The 21,055-nt window shown below is 37.7% G+C and overlaps 1 protein-coding gene across 4 annotated transcripts in view; it reads left to right on the forward strand.

Annotated features, from left to right (window-relative positions):
* SYNPR (synaptoporin) overlaps nucleotides 1-20,143 on the forward strand; it is a 416,321-nt gene extending 396,178 nt beyond the window's left edge. For 3 of the 4 annotated variants that reach the window (XM_017005731.1, NM_001130003.2, NM_144642.5), the window contains 2 exons: nucleotides 12,344-12,535; nucleotides 18,443-20,143. In XM_017005731.1, the coding sequence (XP_016861220.1) occupies nucleotides 12,344-12,535; nucleotides 18,443-18,700 (450 nt within the window). In that variant the 3' untranslated portion in view covers nucleotides 18,701-20,143. Of the gene's footprint in view, nucleotides 1-12,343; nucleotides 12,536-13,692; nucleotides 18,394-18,442 lie in introns of those variants that run through there. The other variant, XM_017005732.3, reaches the window with a different exon arrangement.
* Nucleotides 20,144-21,055: the final 912 nt, after the last annotated feature.

The raw sequence follows: 21,055 nt of genomic DNA on the forward strand, positions 1-21,055 counted from the left end.
AACCCAAACAGGAAAAGGGGCATCACTGTCACTTGACCATGGATATAAATGTGCTTCCATTTGTTAATTGTGGATTAGAACTATGCTGTCCAATAGGATAGCACTAGTAACATGTGGTTATTGAGCACTGAAATGTGGTTATTATGAATTAAGATGTACTGTAAGTGTAAAATACACATCACGTTTCAAAGACTTAGTATCAAAAAAGTAAAATGGCATACTAATAATTTTAGATTGATTATATGAAATAATAATTTTGATGTATTGGGGTTTGTTGTATTAATATGTTATATATTAATATAATCAATTGCATCAATTTCTCTTTGCTTTAACTGTGGCTACTTTAAAGCTTAAAATTACATATGCCGCTCCTATTTGTGGCTTGCATTAGATTTCTTCAGGCGTCCTCATTCCCTGCTCTTACCACCAGGGCCACAATTATTATTCTTTAAATTAAGTCATTTTTAAAATTTAAATAAATGTGTTTTTGAATAAGACCCTGGACCACTATTGAATATAGAAATCCAGCATTATTAACATAGTTAGAAGACAAACATACAAATGAATCAATAGAAAATAAACAGTGCTGTATTCTAGCTACATAGGTATACCATTGCTTACTTGAAGGATCTGAGCCTGGAGCCAGTTTTCTTTGACGAAAAAACATGAAAAGATGAGCACTTGTTAACTAAGCATTGAAAATGGTGTAGCACCCAACTGAGACTTTACTAGTCAGATTGAAAGGAAATTGGGAAGGAGAATGCCTTTCTCTCTATGTAGGGATGTAGCAATATTGTTTATTGCTCGTTCCCACCAGGATAGGCAACCCAAACTTCAGAAAACCTGGGCATAATGAAAAAACACTCACTAAACAGGGAACCCAATGTCCTCAATTCAAATCTCAGTTACCTGTGACAACTTGGACACATCACTGAATCTAATCTCCCTCACACAGCTGTTGTGAAGGTCATACGATCTTCGTTGAAAACTGTAGGTGCTCCCTGGAAGTCAGTTGTCATTATTATTAACACTTCAAATGAAATAAGGAAACAATCCCATAAGTGGATAGAACAGAAACTTGTCCTGTCTATCCATTTTTTAGCTCCCTTCCAAGACAAGTCCAAAGCTCTGCCCCCAGCTGAGCTGCCATCTTGCTATTTGCTTTCTGTGTTTCCTGATCCATAGTGTCATTCTAAAATTCTTGGAGGCTGAATTAGCAAAGTGATCCATTTACAGTGTGGATGAGAGTGACTCTCTGAACTGTCCAATTTCTAGTGTAGTCTCTCTGTATAAAAGTGTCAGCAACAGAAATAAATAACAAAGCCATCAAGTAGCCAAAACAGACAATAAAGTCATTGGATTAAAATATTGGTTATATGTACTAATAGGTAGAAATTGAATATTTGTTTATTTTTTATCAATATCCAGTGGAGTTGCTTGTGCCACTATTAGAAAGAGATGGAGACAGGTTTACCTGGTCTGAAATGCTAAATTTTCTGTCACCAAAGATGACTCCCTTTTCTATACCCCAGGGTGATCCCAGACACCAAGATTCATACTATTAATTACATTTAGAAAAAAATATATTTGCTAACAGCAACTTATGAAAAGTGAGGGCAACAAACTGAATGGAAACAAACCACCCAGCCAACATTAAACCAGGCTGCTTCCTTGATTGAGGAAGCTGTTTCTTGGTTCACTGAACAGATACTTAAAACATATTGCAGAAACACATCCAGGTTTCCTGTCAAAGTTCTTTGGGTACCGATTGAGATGAATAGCTCAGAGTATATTTATGAACCATGTTATGAACTATGGGCAAATAAATCTCTTAATACTCCTGGCCGCAGTTTCTTCATCTGTAGTATAAGGCCAGTGATGCCTCCTCTGACTATTTTTGGGGTTTTATGGGGACCACATAGAACAAAAGTATGAGCACCTTTTGGAAGCACTGAAGCACATTTTGAAGGGCAGCCTCTTCACTCTATGGGAATAAATAACACATGAAAAGTGAGCAGAAAAGGTCTTCAAAGGCCTAATGTATGTATGATAACCTAGCAGTAAATGTTAAAAATGTGTCTTCCATATCCACACTATCTCTTTTAGACTGACAGGGATCATATTTGTAAACAATTGGATTCTTGTTTGAACCATCAGAAGAAATCCACTTCTCAAGTGTGAGCCATTTACTTCTCCTGATACTACTCAGGCAGACCATTACATAGCATTAAATAACACAAATGAGAAAGTTATCCCATATTCAATTTAACTGCAAGCCTTCTGCTTAGATCATGCTAGTACAGTCATGTACCCCATTATGGATGTTTTGGTCAGCAATGGATCACCAACAATATATGATGGTGGTCCCATTAGATTATAATGAAGCTGAAAAAGTCTTATCCCCTGGTGACATCATAGCCATCATAATGTTATGGTAGCATAATCACTCTATTTTAAAAATTAATTTAGTGTAGTCTAATCATACAGAATTTATAAAGTCTACAGTAGTGCACAATAATGTCTGTCCTAGGCCTTCACATTCAACTTCCAGTGCTGCAAGCTCCGTTCATGGTAACTGCCCTATCTAAGTGTACTATTTTTTATCCTTTATACTATATTTTTACTGTACCTTTTTTATGTGTAGATGTGTTTACATACACAAATACTTATCATCATCATGTTACAATTGCCTGCAGTAATCAGAACATTCACATGCTGTAGAGGTTTGTAGCCTGGGAGCATAAGCCATACCACATAGCCTAAGCATATGGTAGGCTAGACCATCTAGATTTGGGTAAGTGCACTCTATGATGTTCACACAATGATGAAATCACCTTTTTTTCAGAACGTATCCCTGTCGGTTAAGTGACAGATGACGGTATTTCATTAATACTCCTCTAACACATGTTAATCTCCCAGTATAAAAATTCTAGGCTCCAAAGCCTTGGACAACCATCTCCAGCTAGAATTTAAGATATTTTATTTTTACTGTATAGTATTTATGCTTGCAATTTTCTTCTATCAGTGAGAAGCTATATTGGTTTAACATTTATAGTACACATATAATTTCTAAGTAGTACATATAATTTCTAAGATAGCTATGTAAAAAGCATAATTTGCTTTAAATGAAATATTAAGCAATAACACAGGAGATATGTGGACAAAATCAAAATTGTTTAGGTAGTACCAAACTGACTAAAATTTAGAGAACATCACTTAAAGTTATTATTCACATAAAATATACCAAAAATCATCTTTCTCCCAAATTTTTGGAAAGCTTGTGATACGCTGTGGTAGACAAGCCAGCCATCAATTATAAGGAAAGTATTTAAGCTGTCTATGCTTTAGTTTCCTCATAAGTAAAATGGGGATAATGTAGTACCTACGTCATAAGATGAATGATGTTGGTAAGCACTTAGCAGAGTGCTGGCGTATAGGAAGCACTCAGTAAATACGGACAGCAGCTACTGCTGCTGCTCCTAAAACAGCCACCAGTTCTGGAGAGCTTCTGATCTCCTCTCTGCCCTTCTACATCATGCTCTGTGCCAGGAGGGGACAGGCATGGGTCAAATCAATGGGCTCCCTGCCCTCTGGATACCAGCTGGGTTTGGCCAGTGGGGAGCCTCAGCAGGAGGTGGGACAATGTAGGGAAGTGGTGTCAGGTTATTTGTTCCCACATCTCACTTTCTGCAAGGTATCCTCAAACTCAGGTTTATGCTTAATATGGTTTGGCTGTGTCCCCACCCAAAATCTCATCTTGAATTTTAATCCCCTAACTGCCATAATCCCCATGTGTCAAGGACAGGACCAGATGGAGGTAATTGGATCATGGGGGCAGTTTCTCCATGCTGTTCTCATGTTAATGAGTGAGTCTTATGAGATCTGATGGTTTTATAAGCAACTGGCATTTCCCCTGCTTTCACTTCTCCTTCCTACTGCCTTGTGAAGAAGATGCCTTGCTTCCCCTTCACCTTCTGCCATGATTGTAAGTTTCTTGAGGCCTCCCCAGCAATGCAGAACTCTGAGTCCATTTAACCTCTTTCCTTTATAAATCACCCAGTCTCTGGCAGTTCTTCATAGCAACATAAGAAAGGACTAATACAATGCCCAAAGCCAAAAAATACAGAAGTTCAGGCTTATATATTCTTCAGAATTTTTGACCTAGTCTCCCCATCACCATACTTTGCTTAGTTAAAGAAAACCTGCCATGGCTGGGTGCAGTGGCTCACGCCTATAATCCCAGCACTTTGGGAGGCCGAGGTGGGCAGATCACCTGAGGTCGGGAGTTTGAGACCAGCCTGACCCACATGGAGAAACCCCATCTCTACTAAAAATACAAAATTAGCCGGGCTTGGTGGCACATGGCTATAATCTCAGCTACTTGGGAAGGCTGAGGGAGGAGAATCGCTTGAACCTGGGAGGTGGAGGTTGTGGTGAGCCGAGATCGTGCCATTGCACTCCAGCCTGGGCAACAAGAGCAAAACGCCATCTCAAAAAAAAAAAAAGAAAAGAAAACCTGTTGTGAGGTTGCTGTCTGAAACCCTTTGATGTAAAAATTCTCAATTCTTTTTTTAAACTTTTATTTTATGTTCAGAGGTACATGTGCAGATTCATCGTATAGGTAAATTGCATGTCACGGGGGCTTGGTGTACCAATTATTTCGTCATCTAGGTAACAGAACCCAAAAGGTAGTTTTTTGATCCTCACCTTCCTCCCACCCTCCACTCTCAAGTAGACCCTGGTTTCTGTTGTTCCCTTCCTTGTGTCCACGTGTACTTTAATTTTTAGCTCCCACTTTTAAGTGAGAACATGCAGTACTTGGTTTTCTGTTCCTGTGTTAGTTTGCTTAGGATTATGGTCTCCAGCTCCATCTATGTTGCTACAAAGGACATGATCTCATTCTTTTTTTATGGCTGTATAGTATTCTGTCCTGTATATGTACCACATTTTCTTTAGCTAGTGTAGGTTGATTCCATGTCTTTGCTATTGTGAATAGTGTGGCAGTAAACATACACATACATGTGTCCTTATGGTAGAGTGATTTATACTCCTTTGGGTATATACCCAATAATGAGATTGCTGGGTTGAATGGTAGTTCTGTTTTTAGCTCTTTGAGGAATCACCACACTGCTTTCCACAATGGTTGAACTAGTTTACGCTCCTACCAACAGTGTATTAGCATTCCTTTTTCTCTGCAACCTTGCCAGCATCTGTTTTTTTGTTTTGTTTTGTTTTTACTTTTTAATAATAGCCATTCTGACCAGTGTGAGATGGTATCTCTTTGTGGTTTTGATTTGCATTTCTCTAATGATTAGTGATGTTGGGCACTTTTTCATATGCTTCTTGGCCATATGTATGTCTTCTTTTGAAAGCGTCTGTTCATGTCCTTTGCCCACTTTTTAACGGGGTTCTTTGTTTTTTGATTGTTGATTTGTTTAAGTTCCTTATAGATGCTGGATATTAGACTTTTGACAGATGCACAGTCTGCAAATATTTTCTCCCATTTTGTAAGTTTTCTGTTTACTCTGTTGATAGTTTCTTCTGCTGTCCAAAAAAAGCTCTTTAGTTTAACTAGTTCCCATTTGTCAGTTTTTGTTTTTATCACAATTGCTTTTGGTGTTTTCATCATGAAATCTCTGCCAGCTCTTATGTCCAGGATGCATTTCCTAGGTTATCTTCTAGGGTTTTTATAGTTTTGGGTTTAAATTTAAGTCTTTAATCCATCTTGAGTTGTTTTTGTATATGGTGTAAGAAAAGGGTCCAGTTTTAATCTTCTGCATAGGGCTAGCCAGTTATCCTAGCACCATTTATTGAAGAGGGAGTTCTTTCCTCATTCCTTGCTTTTCACAATTTTGTCAAAGATCAGATGGTTGTAGGTGTGTGAAATTATTTCTAGGCTTTCTATTCTGTTCCATTGGTTTATGTGTCTGTTTTTATAACAGTACCATGTTGTTTTGGTTACTGTAGCCTTATAGTATAGCTTGAAGTTGGGTAAAGTAATACCTCCAGCTTTGTTCTTTTTGGTTAGAATTGCCTTGGTCATTCAGGCTCATTTTTTCCATATTAATTTTAAAATAGTTTTGTTTTAATCTTGTAAAGAATGTCATTGATAGTTTGATAGGAATAGCATTGAATCTATAAATTGCTTTGGGCAGTATTGCTATTTTAACAATATGGATTCTTCCTCTCCATGAGCATGGAATGTTTTTCCATTTGTTTGTGTCATCTCTGATTTATTTCAGCAGTGTTTTGTAATTCTCATTGTAGAGATTTTTCATCTCCCTGATTTGCTGTATTCCTAAGTATTTTATTCTTTTTGTGATTATTGTGAGTGAGCTTGTGTTCTTGGTTTGACTTTCAGCCTGGATGTTATTGGTGTATGGAAATGCTACTGATATTTGTACACTGATTTTGTATCCTAAAACTTTGCCGAAGTTGTCTGTCAGATAAAGGAGCTTCTGGGCAGAGACTATGAGATTTTCCAGGTACAGAATCATATCATCTGCAAAGGGGATAGTTTGACTTCCTCTCTTCCTATTTGGATGCCTTTCATTTCTTTCTCTTGCCTGATTGCTCCGGCTAGGACTTCCCACACAATGTTGAATAGGAGTGGTTAGAGAGGGCATTCCTGTCTTGTTCTGGTTTTCAAGGGGAATACTTCTAGCTTTTGTATATTCAGTATGATGTTGGCTGTGGGTTTGTCATAGATAGCTCTTATTACTTTGAAGTATGTTTCTTCAATGCCTAGTTTGTTGAGGGTTCTTAACATGAAGGGAAGTTGAATTTTATTGGAAGCATTTTCTGCATCTAATGAGATGATCATGTGGTTTTTATTTTTAGTTCTGTTAATTTGGTAAATCACATTTATTGATTTGTGTATGTAGCACCAACCTTGCATCCCAGGGATAAAGCCTGCTTGATCATGGTGAATTAGCTTTTTGATGTGCTGCTGGATTCAGTTTGCTAGTATTTTGTTGAGGATTTTTACATCTATGTTCATCAAGGATATTGGCCTGATGAACAGTGTTTTCTTTTTTAATTGTGTCTCTGCCTGGTTTTGTTATCAGGATGATGTTGGCCTCATAGGATGAGCTGGGAAATAGTCCTTCCTCCTCAATTTTTTGAAATAGTTTTGGTAGGAATGGTCCCAATTCTTTATACATCTGGTAGAGTTTGGCTGTGATTCCATCTGGTCCTGGGCTTTTACTGATTGGCAGGCCTTTTATTACTGAGTCAATTTCAGAAGTCATTATTAGTCTGTTCAGGGATTCATCTTCCTCCTGGTTCAATCTTGGGAAATTTCCAGGAATTTGTCCATGTCTTCTAGGTTTTCTAGTTTGTGCGTATAGAGGTTTTCATAGTAGTTTCTGAGTAGTTTCTCCACTCCATCTTTGTGGAGTCAGTGGTAATATCCCCTTTGTCATTTCTGATTGTGTTTATTTGGAACTTCTATTTTGTTCTTTACAAGTCTAGCTACCAGTCTATCTGTCTTATTAATTCTTTCAAAAAACCAACTTTAAGATTCATTGATCTTTTGTATGGTTTTTCACATCCCATTTCCTTCAGTTCAGCTCTGGTTTGGATTATTTCTTATCTTCTGCTGGCTTGGAGATGGTTTGCTCTTGTTTCCTTAGTTCCTCTAGTTGTGATATTAGGTTGTTAATTTGAGATCTTTGTAACTTTTTGATGTGGGTGTTTAGTGCTATAAACTTCCCTCTTAACACTGCTTTCGCTGTGTCCCAGAGATTCTGGTATGTTGTGTCTTTGTTCTAATCTTTGAATAATTTATTGATGTCTGCCTAGATTCCATTATTTACCTAGAAGTTATCCAGGAGCAGGCTGTTTAATTTCCATCCAATTGTATTATTTTGAGTGATTTTCTTAGCACTGATTTCTATTTTTATTGCTCTGTGGTACATGAACATTGTTGATATGATTTTCAAAAATTTACTGAGGATGGTAAAAATTTCAATTTTAATTACATTATTATTTGATCTAATTAAAATCTTGTTGCTGTTGTAAGGGCAAATTTTGCCATGTGAAGTTTTGTTTGGGAAAACCATTGGCCAGTGCCTTGATTATTTGCTCTAATTATAAAATGAGTTTTTACATACATAAGCTTATGTAAAAGAAATCTCTAATTCTACCATTGCCACTTGATATATTCTTATGTAATGTTATATACATCAATATATTTTTTAACAAAATTGCGATCATTTTATATATTCCTTCATTCATTCTTTCACTCAACAAATGTTGATGGCACCTCTCTGCCAAGAACCAGAAATGAGCTAGGTAGTCAAAATGCTTGCATCCATGGAACTGACATCTTATGGGAAGAAGTAGGCAAATAAACTGTTCCAAATTGTGAAAAGTGCTGAGCAAAAAAGAATAAGGGGATAGAGAGAAAGGTGTACATTTTAATTGCAGGGCTCAGGAAAGACTATCTGGGGAGGGGACCATTAATGAGGACCAATTAAGGTGATAAAGCAGGTCATATGGCTATAAAGGATAAGAAAGGAATTCTGGGCCAAGGGAATAGCAAGTGTGAAGTCCCCAAGACAGGAATTTGCCCTTCTACACGATGGCCCTAAGGGATAGGAAAGGAATTCTGGACAGAGGGAACAGCAAGTGCAAAGGCCCTGGCCTGTGTGCAAAGGTTTCCACACTGCTATTTCTACTTCAGTCTATCAGAAACATTTCCTCTTACAGCCATTCATTTCAGAAATATTTATTGAGCAGCTGCTATGCGTCAGGCACCATTCTTTGTGATGGGCAGGCAGTAATGAACATCATAGGCAAAAATCTGCCCACAAGATACAAGCAAGTAAATATATAATGTACCAGTTGGTGAACATGAAACTGAGAAAAATGAAACTGGAAAAGGAACATAGGGAATTTAACATAGGATGCTATTTATATGTGGTGGGAAAGAAAGCATCATGATACAATGAAATTTGAGCATTGATTTGAAGAAAGAAAGAAGAAGGAGCCATGTGGGTCCCAAGAGATGGGAGTGCCCAGGTTAAAGCTTTAAGCTACACATGCTCTTGGTGAGTCTGAGCAGCAGACAGAGGGCCTATGCCGCTGGAGTGATCACAGGTCCCTGCTATGGGGCATGTATGTTCCCGCTCCATAGCCTTATATGATTTGTATTATTGTTGTTGCTGTCATTATTGCTTTTATTCGTGATATAAAAGTTTACATTTATTTGTCACTCACTATTTACCAGGCATTGTGCTAAACATTTGATTTATACTAACTTATTTTATCCTCACTATCATCCTACAAGAGGGTTACTGTTATTATTTCAACTTACAGAGAGGTAAACTGAGGCCTCAAGTAGTCTAGCAAATGGACACACGGGTAACAGGTAGTAAGTGTCAAAGTAAGGACTAAAACCCAGGTCTGCCTAATGACAAAGTCTGAACTTTTAACTCAGATAAGAGAAACTTAGTTATATTACTGATGCCTCTTTACAAAATGGCACTAAGGGATAAAAGGTTGAACCAGCTTCTTAAAATACCATGTTTATTCTGAAGATATAGATCCTTGACTTCAATCAGAAGCTTGTTTATGGAAAAGGACTTCTTACTATTTTTTATATTTAAATTAAGCAGGACCTCAAATCCTTTCTTTTTTTTTTTTTTTTTTTTTTAGCAATGAGATCTCATCCTGTTGCCCAGGCTGAACTGGCTGGAGTGCAGTGATGCAATCATAGCTCACTGCAACTTCAAACTCCTGGGATCAGGCGATCTCCCACCTCAGGCTCACAGGTTGATAGGACTACAGTCATGCCCCACCATGTCCAGCTAAATTTTTAATTTTCTGTAGTGATGAAGTCTCACTGTGTTGCCTAGGCTGGTCTTGAACTCCTGGGTTCAAACAATCATCCTGCCTTGGCCTCCCAAAATGCTGGGATTATAGTCAAAACCAACTTAAAAAAACTTTTTAGTGTCTTCATTTTAAATAGGAAGATCAGTATTCCATAAGGCAGATGGCCAGGCTTAGAATCCTTGCTCCTCCACTTATTCATTCATGACTTCAACCAATTTGTTTAACCTTTGGTGTCTCCATTTCCTCAACTGTAAAATGGGGTCAGGATTGGTATCTATTTCATGGTGCAGTTGTCAGGATTAAATGAGTCAAAACATATAAACTTGGAATAATACTTGACACATCATAAGCACTCAATAAATGTTACATATGAATATTATTATTTGAACAAAGAAATCTAACAGTTTTCTCCAATTTCCAATTGAAAGGTCTTCACATGACTATTCTTTTTTAAGTGTTTCCCCATTCTATGGGCCTTTCTACAAGTCTATTTCTAATTATGATGAATATAAATAATGAAAACCATCATACTATAGGTAATGCTTTAAGGTAACTGTGGGCCCTAACAAATATGTACTGTCAAGAGAACAGAGCCCATATTTTGCATTTTTTAATCCTCTGTAAGACCTTCCTCAATACTCAGCACATTACTCAAAAATTACTATTTGAATAAAAGCATGAATGAATGAAGGTACCAGATTGAACATGAACAGAAAGTCATGATTTGACACAGTCAGTCTGGCTTATTTATTTGTAACTATTCCTCCAATTTCAAATTCAGACCCAAACACTTGAGTTTCTTTATTCCAAATGTTTGTATTACTGTTGAAACAGCTGTAGATATTGTATTTGTTTGCTTGTTTATACCTCTACCTCATCTCAGAAAGGCTCATAAGGACATTTAAAAACCAAGGTGTAATTGAATGAAAATGAAAAGTAAAAAGAAGAAAGGGAATATAAAACAAAACAAAGAATCAGGTTAAAATACCCATGCCATCAAAACCCTATGAATGGGTCACACATTGGCCCTTAGTTTTCTAGAGCCAACATGAAAAAAGGTAAACTGGTCAGTTACGTAATTCACAACAGCCACTGGATGGAGTGACTTGCAGAAGATTCAGCTACTCTTAGTAGTGAGACCCTCCAGAACATTCTCCACAAAGATCACACCTAACAAATGTCTGGCACCACAGCATCTATAGAGTGTAAAAGTTCCCTCAGTGTAGATCATGGGATCGTGATGAAAAGTAATTCAGCCACACCATGAGAGCAAGATACAGAGCAAGTCAGATGCACTATGCCCTCGGGCAGGAAAGAAACACATGCCAAATTTTCTACTTGAGGAGGTTATTATTAAGAACAAAAGGGCAAACTGTTTCTGTTGGCATATCAAATATACTTTTTTTCTTTCCTGGTCGGCATTTTTATTATTTTAGGTAAGCAGCATGTAACATTTTTACAATAGTCAAACATATATATAGTCAATCTGAATTTTTTTAATACTATGTTCTAATAGTCTAAATCTTAGACAGTCTCTCCTGCCTGCCACCCCACCCGAGTCATGAGGGAGGATGAGAGACGTAGCCCTCATCATCAGAAGTTTGGAGATGGTCTCTACAATACTCATCCTGTTACATCCTAGAAATTTCGTTTGATATGGATAAAAGCTTCTTTCCCCTGCGAACAGCAGATGATTTTCAGGGTCAGACAGACCTAGATTTGAATTCTGGCTCTGCAACTTTCTATGTGTTACCTTTTATCTGTGAGTTTCAGTTTTCTCCTCTTTAAAATGGGCATAAGAATACTGTCTAATATGATTATTGTAAGAATAATTTTATACAAAACCTCTCACCCATAGCAGGCACTCAAAAACATTACAGCTCTTATTGTCTTCCACATAACATAGTTCCACATTGGTTAACATATTGGTTAACCAATAACATATAGATAACACATTGGTTTGTTAAGTGAACAAACGAATGAATGAATGAATGAATGAGTGAACATTGCCATCAAAGAATCTTAAACCATTAGCAGATCTGTCTAAAGGTTTGGAATCATGACAGCTTGGTGGTTAAGAACTTGGACTCAATATTCAGGTTGCCTGGGTTTGAATCCTGATGCCATCATGAATTATCTGTGAAATCTCAGACAAGCTATTCAACCATTCTCTATGTTAGTTTGACATCTGCAAATAGGATGATGTACCATTCCTTACAGGGATGTTGTAGGAACAATTAGGTGTGGGTTATAAAGTCCTTAGCATCATTCCTGGGATATAGTAAGCATTTAATAAATATTACTATTATTATTTATTTTATAGAAAGATAAATATAATATCATAAGGCTTTCTTTTATTTGTTTTTCTAAATGTTTTCCTTGTTTCCAGTGCTATGGGATCTTAAAATTTTCCAAAAGGCAAACCAAATAGTTATATAAACAAATCAACTTGTTTCTAGAACTCACATTTTCTTTTACCATTTTCTATTCTGATTTGTTTCTGTAGGACTTCATTGTCACTGTAGTCTTTTCGTTCTTGTGGTTGGTGGGTTCATCAGCTTGGGCAAAAGGACTGTCTGACGTCAAAGTTGCAACGGATCCCAAGGAAGTATTGCTACTAATGTCAGCTTGCAAACAGCCATCCAACAAATGCATGGCTATCCACAGCCCTGTTATGTCAAGCTTAAACACTTCTGTGGTAAGTATTTTTCATCTATGCTTTACTGTTCATATCTTTGTTTGCCAGTCAAAATAATAAGAAAAACATCTCAGAAGTCATCTTGAAAATTGTTGCCTACAAAACTAGGCCAATCAAAAGGTGAGATACTTCACCTCAGGTACAGGATGATCACTTGGCCCTCAGGTTTCTTATTGTCAGAATCCATCATTTGTAATGTTGCCGATTAAGGAGTTTTTCTTAAGAACCCCGCAGGTATTGGCAGCTGCTGCTTAGGTGACAGTCCAGTTGAAACTCTAAGCCAGAAGCAAATATAAAATCTGAACTTTGGCCGGACGCAATGGCTCACGCCTATAATCCCAGCAATTTAGGAGGCCAAGGTGGGAGGATCACCTGAGATCAGGAGTTCAAGACCAGACTGGCCAACATGGTGAAACCCTGTCTCTACTAAAAATACAAAAAAAACTAGCCAGGCACGGTGGCTCATGCCTATAGTCCCAGCTACTCGGAAGGCTGAGGCATGAGAATCGCTTGAACCCAGGAGGCGGAGGTTGCAGTGAGCCAAGATCAGGCCACTGCACCCCAGCCTGAGCAACAGAGTGAGACTCGGTCTCAAAAACAAAAACAAAAAAACCTGAACTTTAAGGTTGAAGTCAGACAAAAGTTAAAAGGAATATTTGAGGGCATACAAGTTCCTGGGGAGAAAACACTGTTCAAGCCACATGTAGCTGGAATACACCCAACTGATTAGAGAAAAATACACAGACCTAGTAGGGTGAAAAAATAAATTCAGAATGTAAAAAAGTACTTATAATAGCTATGGTAATTTTTGAATTTTCTCCATGCTTCCGGTTTAGTTACTTTATAACTTCGGAAAAGCTGCACTGTATTAGTTGAACAAAGTCAAATGTTATCATCAAGAGTTATGGCTCTTACAAGAAAAGAGAAAATCTGACAGTTAGCAGGGACACTAAATTGGATTTTTAATTTATAAGTGTAAGAATTTGTTATTATTCCAAAGAAAGAAGCTGTATCTGAGAAATACATAAGCTATAATGGCAGCAAAAAGCAGCGGTTATCGAAGAATAGAAGGCTCAGCAGTGTTTGCTGAAAGAACATTCTTTAGCACATCCTAGAAATAATTATCTTTGCTTCAAGATTAACCTGTGTTTCTACAGCTTTCTGAAATTCAATCTGCGAAGGCACTTAAGAAGAGAGAAAGGGTTGCTACTCTGACTGGACTGTGATTTCTGCTTTGGTGAGATAGTAACCATGAAAATAAGCTCTGCATTAGGGTCTCACAATAATTTTTATTCATTGCTGACCACACTTGTAAATGAACACTTTGAGGTATACGTTACCATATTTACTTATACTTCTGTAGTTTGTTTATAGACAGTATTTAATGAAAGCTATTAAAACCCTGATCTCAAAATCTAACAGGACAAAAATAAAATTGCTTGATATGTTTGTTAGTTTAATAACTAATCTCCCAATAAATTATGACGTTCTGCATGGTTCTTCTAATTCCACTTCTGATATATCTAATAATTTTTAGACTAAAAGATGGAAATTATGAATGAAAAACAATGTGATGTGTCTCCTAAAACCAAAATAAAGAATGAATTGAAACCAAATAATGTGATGTGTGTGAAAGGACAGGTCCAGTGGTGCTGTAGTGATGTATCCATATCAGTTAACAGTCTTCTAGTTCCTAGTGACAGAAAACTCAATTCAAACTGGCTAAGGCAAACCAATCCTCATATCCCTAAAATCTGTTTTTGCAGTCCACTTCTGGTACCAATGTTTGTATGCATTAGAATAATCAAAGCTGATTTTAACTACAACAGGAAAAAAGTATTTGGAAGGATATTAAGTCGCTCATACAACTTGATGAAACCTGAAGAAACAGGTTCTAGAAAGAGCAGAATCTAGAGCAGAATGAGAGTTCTAGATGTTCAGTACCAAATAATTGTTTCTTAGAGTTGCCATTAGTGGAAAGTTTTACCTAACCTTGCATTGCTCTGCTCAAAATGCAAAGTTCCAGGAGAGAGCTCAAGCCATTTGACCGAAACTTGGCTCTGCAAAGAAAATCAGATTTCTATTACCAAAAGCAGGGGAAAGGACATTAATGAACCAAAACACAATATTTTTATTACAAATTGTTTGGCTTCAAATCATACTGAGCTAGCTTATGCAAAAACTGAAAATAGTTGGAAAGACATTAAAAGTGTGTCTTCCCAGGGCAAAACCCAACAGCCAAGAACTGGAAGGCTGCCAGGAAGCTGGACAGTTCTCATCCTCCATCTCTCATCTCTCTTTCTTTCTGTGTCCCTGTCCCTTTCTGCATGTTTGTTACATTATTCTCTCTTTTCAGGTGAAACTTTATTTCTTTTTTTTCATCCACACAGCAGAAGATAGCCACTCTGCAGTTTCTAAGTTTATATGTATTTTTTAAAGACTGAACGGCTTGGACTGAATGAAAATCACTCAGGTCCAGTTGCAAATTTCTGGTAGAGAGAATCTCTTTTGCCCACCTTAGGCCAGATGCCCACCTCAGTCTCATCAGTTATGAATAGAGGGTTTGGAGGATGATGTAGTAGAAACGTGACTCAGAGAACACACTTTACTGGGCAAACATAGGTTTTGGAGTAGGAGGCATACCCATACCACAATAAATGACCTCTACAAGTAAATGAGTCAGGAAATAATAGTCATATTCTCTACCTTGGTAACAAATTTACTATCTTCAAAGCACTTTTTGGCACCTATAATTTTACAGTAACACTAAAATGTAGGTAAGATATCCAGATACTACAAATACTGGGAGCTAAGGTAAACTCTCTAATCCTTAGTTTTATCATCTGTAAAGTGGGGATAATTGTACAACAGACCTCAATACTGTTGAAACAATTCAGTGAGATAATCTATAAAAAAAATACTTAGCATCATGCCCAGCTTATGGCAAATGGTCAATACATGTCAACTGAAAATGGCTACTAAAATACGGTCATTCCCAAATGTCATACAGTGTTAGAGCCTAAATACAGAAGGAAGAAATAATGTTTTTAGTCTCTCAATTTCTTTCAAAGTTTCACTGAGCACAAATAGTTTGGCCATAATTTCAACTTCTGCTTCTCCAGCTTCACTCCAGACAAATCTTAGTACATCTTTTTAGACGATCTAGATCTTGTCTCCCCATTGTTTGCATGTTATGTACAGTCTCTTTCAATCTCTCTTTCTGTTGTCCCCAAGTCTGAGCTTGAATCACATTCTTACCCCAATTTCAGTTCCAACAAAATAGCAAAAAAGAGTTCAAGGGCCCAAGTGACCCTAAAATGTGCCAGCCAAGAGATCTGTGATGCTAGAGTAAAAAATCAGTACTCCTTAAATATGCCCATTGAAATGCCTTGTTTACGTTCTTACTTTTAAGTAGCATTTCCTTGATGTCTAAGTTTTTCTTTTTTAAAATCCAAATAGTAACAGGGAAAAGAGAAAGATCAATAGATAGGAAATAGCTAAAATTACATCCCTGGACAGAGCCATGACTGAAAAGATCCCTTGATAATTTTTCCTCCCCTCCCCCACCCTCCCCTCCACTCCCCTCCTCTCCTCTCCTCTCTTCTCTTCTCCTCTCTTCTCCTCTCCTTTTCTGTTTTCCTTTCCTTTTGTTTCCTTTTTTCTTTTTTTTTTTGAGACAGGGTTTTGCTCTGTCACCCAGGTGGGAGGTGCAGTGGTGCAATCATAGCTCACTATAACCTGGAACTCTTGGGCTCAAGGGATACTGCTGCCTCAGCCTTCCAAGTACCCCTTCTGAGTACCTGGGACTACAGGCATGTGCTGCCATGCTCAGCTAATTTTTTTTTTTTTAAGAGACAAGGTCTTGCTATGTTGCCCAGGCACCTCAATAATTTTTTATACTCTTATATTGACATACACTTGTAAAGGTGCAATTTAATCAAGATCCCCCTTTTAACGGAAAATATTCTGGTTACCATGCACATGGTAAAATGGTCCTGTATGCAAATTAGAGTTTTGTCAGTAGTTAACTAATTTATTTTGTTCAAGCAACTATTATACCTTATTTACGTTTTGTATCTCCCTCAGCAGGTAGCCTAGAGCATGGCACAAAATAGGTTCTCAATTAGTGTAAAAAGTAAGGAAAGAGGATGCAAGAGGAGAGAAGGAAGAAGGAGGGAGGTCTGTACAAACCAGTCTTTAATTAGATCAGTTGGGGGCCTAGAGTCTTGATTTTGGCTATTGTCTCAAGAACATCGTCTCACTGTTTGTGCCTCAGTTCAATTTATGCTGCAGCAAAAAAAAAAAAAAAAAAAAAAAAAAAAAGTCTGCAAAGTACAATTCACAGAAATGTTTTAGAAAATGATTCAGAGCATAGTTTACCATTTAGTAAGTATTTGCTAATGTGTCCAGCACTGTCCAGCTACTTTACACACATCCTCTTTAATCCTCCCAACTACCTTCCAAGAAAGGAATTCTTGTCTCCATTCCATACAAGAAACAAAACAAAAACAAAAATGAAGTCTACAGACTAAATGCCTTGTCCCAGGTAGCAGGGCAAGAAAGTACAGTCCCCAGGGTGCCTTTGATTTCAAAGCCTATAGAGATTTCTCCAAGCCTAAGATTCCATTCATGTGCTGCTAAAATATTGAAATATTTTGATAGTCTCAGATCCAAGTCTCCAAGGCCCAGCTTCTTGACTACACCAGTGCCCCCTCTGCCACCACTACCCACAGGCCACTGTGGATCATCTCACTGTCCAGAAACTAAGGGATAGATATTGACCCAGCAAAGGACTTCCAGCACCCTACTCCAGGACCGTGGCCACTGCCCAAGTCCATTTTGATTGGTCAGCGTCACGCTAGGGGGTGATGACTAAATATACTTTAATGTTATCACAGCTTTGCGTTATACTACTGTTACCTGTCTCCATTAGGGGGCTGTTAAAACAGACTGCCTGTAGTTAATTCCCAAGTCAATCAACCAGCCTTGGAAAAGGCTGCAGAACAAGTCATGGAATGAGGACTTCTGTTCGGGCCTCATGCAATAGCAAACCGTTCTGCTTCCATCAAACCTGAGGCCCTGGGGAGGCGACACCCAGTCCTCTGGCTCACTGACACCCTCCTGGAGAGTAAGAGGAATTTCCATAGGAAAGTTTCACATCCAGTTCTTAAGAAAATATTTTATACTTCTCTGAAACCTGCACTTTATTCACAGTCTGGTTTCAACATTCACTTATCCCTGTGAGAGGCACAGAAAGTGCAATTATTCGAACAGTCAACCTCTCAATATGCTATCATGCATATGCTTATTTGCATATCACCTGTACCATTGCTTACCCTATATTTTTAATTGACTCACTTTCTTTATATGATTACAACAAATGGAAAAGCAAAAGCAGTATCTCTAACCATAAAGAGAAGATAGCCTTATAAATGAATGCACCATTATTAAAGTGAAAATTCTCAACCCTGTGCCATCTGGAAATAATCTTACACACCATGAAGGATACTTTATTTGGAGAATAAGTGATGCCTTAAGTAAGGTTTCCAGTTATGGAACCAGAAGAGAGTTTGGATCACAGATCTACTACTCAGCAAGCCACGCGACCTTAGACAAGCTTTCCACATCTTTAATGTGGGTATGACAATAGCAACTTTTTCCTAGACTGATTCTTAGAGCAAGTGAATTGATACACATAAAGCCCTTTATGTAGTGCCTGACATGTAGTGCGTCTAATAAAGGTCAAATATTCTAAATGAAATACCGGTTCCAAATGGAAAACTTGGAAGCGGACTCAACATTAAAGTGAAAAGTGATCTTTTGTATTGTGAAGGATTTTTCCAAAATTGAAATTTTTCTTGGGTTTTTGTCTAGTCTATCAATTCATTGGCTTTGATTCTCCTTCAGGTCTTTGGATTCTTGAACTTTATTCTCTGGGCTGGAAACATATGGTTTGTTTTCAAGGAGACCGGCTGGCATTCTTCGGGACAGAGATATCTTTCAGATCCAATGGAGAAGCACTCCAGCAGCTATAATCAAGGTGGTTACAACCAAGACAGCTATGGATCAAGCAGTGGGTACAGTCAGCAGGCGAGTTTGGGGCCAACCTCAGATGAGTTTGGCCAACAGCCTACTGGCCCCACTTCCTTTACCAATCAGATTTAACAGAGTAGCATTTGCATTCTTCTGCAGTCGCCTCACCATCTTCCATTTCAGTGGCAGAAGAATTTTTTAAGGGTTTCAATCAATTATTAATGCAGAGAGTATTGAATGTAAATCAGAGCTCTCTAGTCTTCATTAAGGCAGCAAGTCCTGGGTTGTGAAAAATGATACTTAGAGATGAGGCGACATGAGGAGATATATTATTCATCATAGATGGCTAATTGGAGAGTACCTTGTTATATATACAGATACTTTCATGGTCATTTTGTATGTATGTTAAAGTAGTAGAAGTATTTTGTAGCTTAAAGTCTCTAGTATGTAATATGCATAAAGTAAATCAAATAGCGTTGAGTTTTCTTATGCATTTTGATGTGAAAGATGTTATAATAATTTCTAGAAGACAATTTGGTGTATCACAACATGCATGTCTTATTTTTTTTTAGTTTTAAGTCCTATAGGACTATGAGTCTCTAAGTTATTTGTTTCAGAAAATTATTCTTTTTTTATGTGATAAATCATATGATTTAAGTGCATGAATAAGCATTTTCCCACACAATGAACATTTGAACTGTGTTTATGAAAATTTTCTGGTTTGCACCATGAATTTGTCAAATGGATATTTATAGGAATATATTCACTACTTTGTATACTTTGCAAATTTGTCTCTCTGGCTTTACCCAAGTTCTGAATGCATTGTAATTAAAATTTAAGTTTTTCTTTTCCCCCATTAGTAAACATTTAGTGCTACATATGATAACTGCCCAATATTTATTCTATTTACTTAGCTAAATATTTGCATTCTTGTAACCTTCTATGGTGTTTTGTGGCTCTTATCTTGTGGACCATAAATAACACGGCCCAATAACTCTTTGTGTTTATGGAGTGTTGTTTTCTTAGAATAATGGAGATGCAGATATAGATACCATAGTCAAGGTACCGCCTTGCTGAAGTATTTATTTATAAAGAATATTCTGTAGAACCTCTACTACCAGCTATATTTTTAAATCCTGTTTATTTGTAAAGCTAATATGCTCCTCAATGTAATTATTAAAAATTCTCAAGTCACAGCTAAACTTACTAATTCTGATTTTAGTGTAGCCCCTAAATTAAAAATGGCTTCCATATGCCACTCTGTACCCCAAAGAGAGTTCTCATGAAATATTCTCCAGAATGTATTCATTATCAAGAAAATGTCAATCGTCACTTCCTCGTTTTAACTCAGCTGAAACACCAGGACCCAATAGAGAGGGCAAGCTGAGCATCTGTATTTCCAGATAAAAGTTGTTATTGATGTATAAACTCGTTGCGTGATTAGTGATGTTGGAAGCATTTTAGCACAAAACAGCCTTGTGTCTTAGATGATATCTGTAACCAGTTTCTGAATCCCGTTGGATAAAACTGTATTGTGATATCTATTTGATGTTAATAAAGTTATTGCATACAGTGCTGGCTGGACAGTGAACAATTACAACAGTAGAACCTGGTTGGCTTTAACAATGACAAACAAGGGTTAAATGCACAGTGTCTCCAATCTGTCACCCTGTCCTTGTTTCATGAGCCCAGTGAGGTTTGTTCATTCATTCCACCATTCTATGCACCTGTCACTGTGCATGCCACTGGTAATGCAGTAGTAAAAAACAAAAACAGGCAGTATGTTAAGAAGCTTACACTCTATTAGGAGAGACAGGCATTAAAATAATCACACCCCAGTTAAGCTGAGTGCAACAAACAGAGGCACAGGATTCCACAGGTACATCTGTCAGAGAGGTTTGAACTAGTTAGGGAGAAGTCAAGAAGCTTCAGACCTCAAGACTACACATGGTTTAGCAAGGACAAGGTGGGAGAGATGCGTGTCCCAGGCAGAGAACATCCTGACAAAGCTCTTGGATGGTAGGAGACAGGATGGATATATAGGGTTGCCAGAGTTTAATGAACAAGAGGCTTTTTGGGAAGTGTGACTGCTGATGGGGACATGGGTGAAATCTGTCTGAAGGCCTAATCAGGAATTCTGTCTTTATCCTAAAGAAGCTAAGGGAAAGCATTGAAGGATTTTTGAGCAGGGGAGGGATGTGATGAGATTAGCATGTTGAAAGGATCTCAATGGCTACAGAGTAGAGTGGATTAGAGGACAAGCGAGAAAAACATCCTGAGGATAAGGAAATAGGCCTTAACTCCTAGCATCTAGGAGGCAGTAGGCTGGGAGTGGGAGGAGGGGATGTGGTATGAGTTCTCCCCGCTCCCACCCCCACTCCCAATTCCCCCTTATTTCCTGGGACGATGGCTGGATTTGACTGCTTCCTTCAGCACTGCGCAGGAGAAGAAAGTGTCCTCTGCTTTATAAGCTGTCATGAACTCAGC

The sequence above is a fragment of the Homo sapiens genome, chromosome 3, assembly GCF_000001405.40.
Source record: "Homo sapiens chromosome 3, GRCh38.p14 Primary Assembly".
Taxonomy (NCBI): domain Eukaryota; kingdom Metazoa; phylum Chordata; class Mammalia; order Primates; family Hominidae; genus Homo; species Homo sapiens.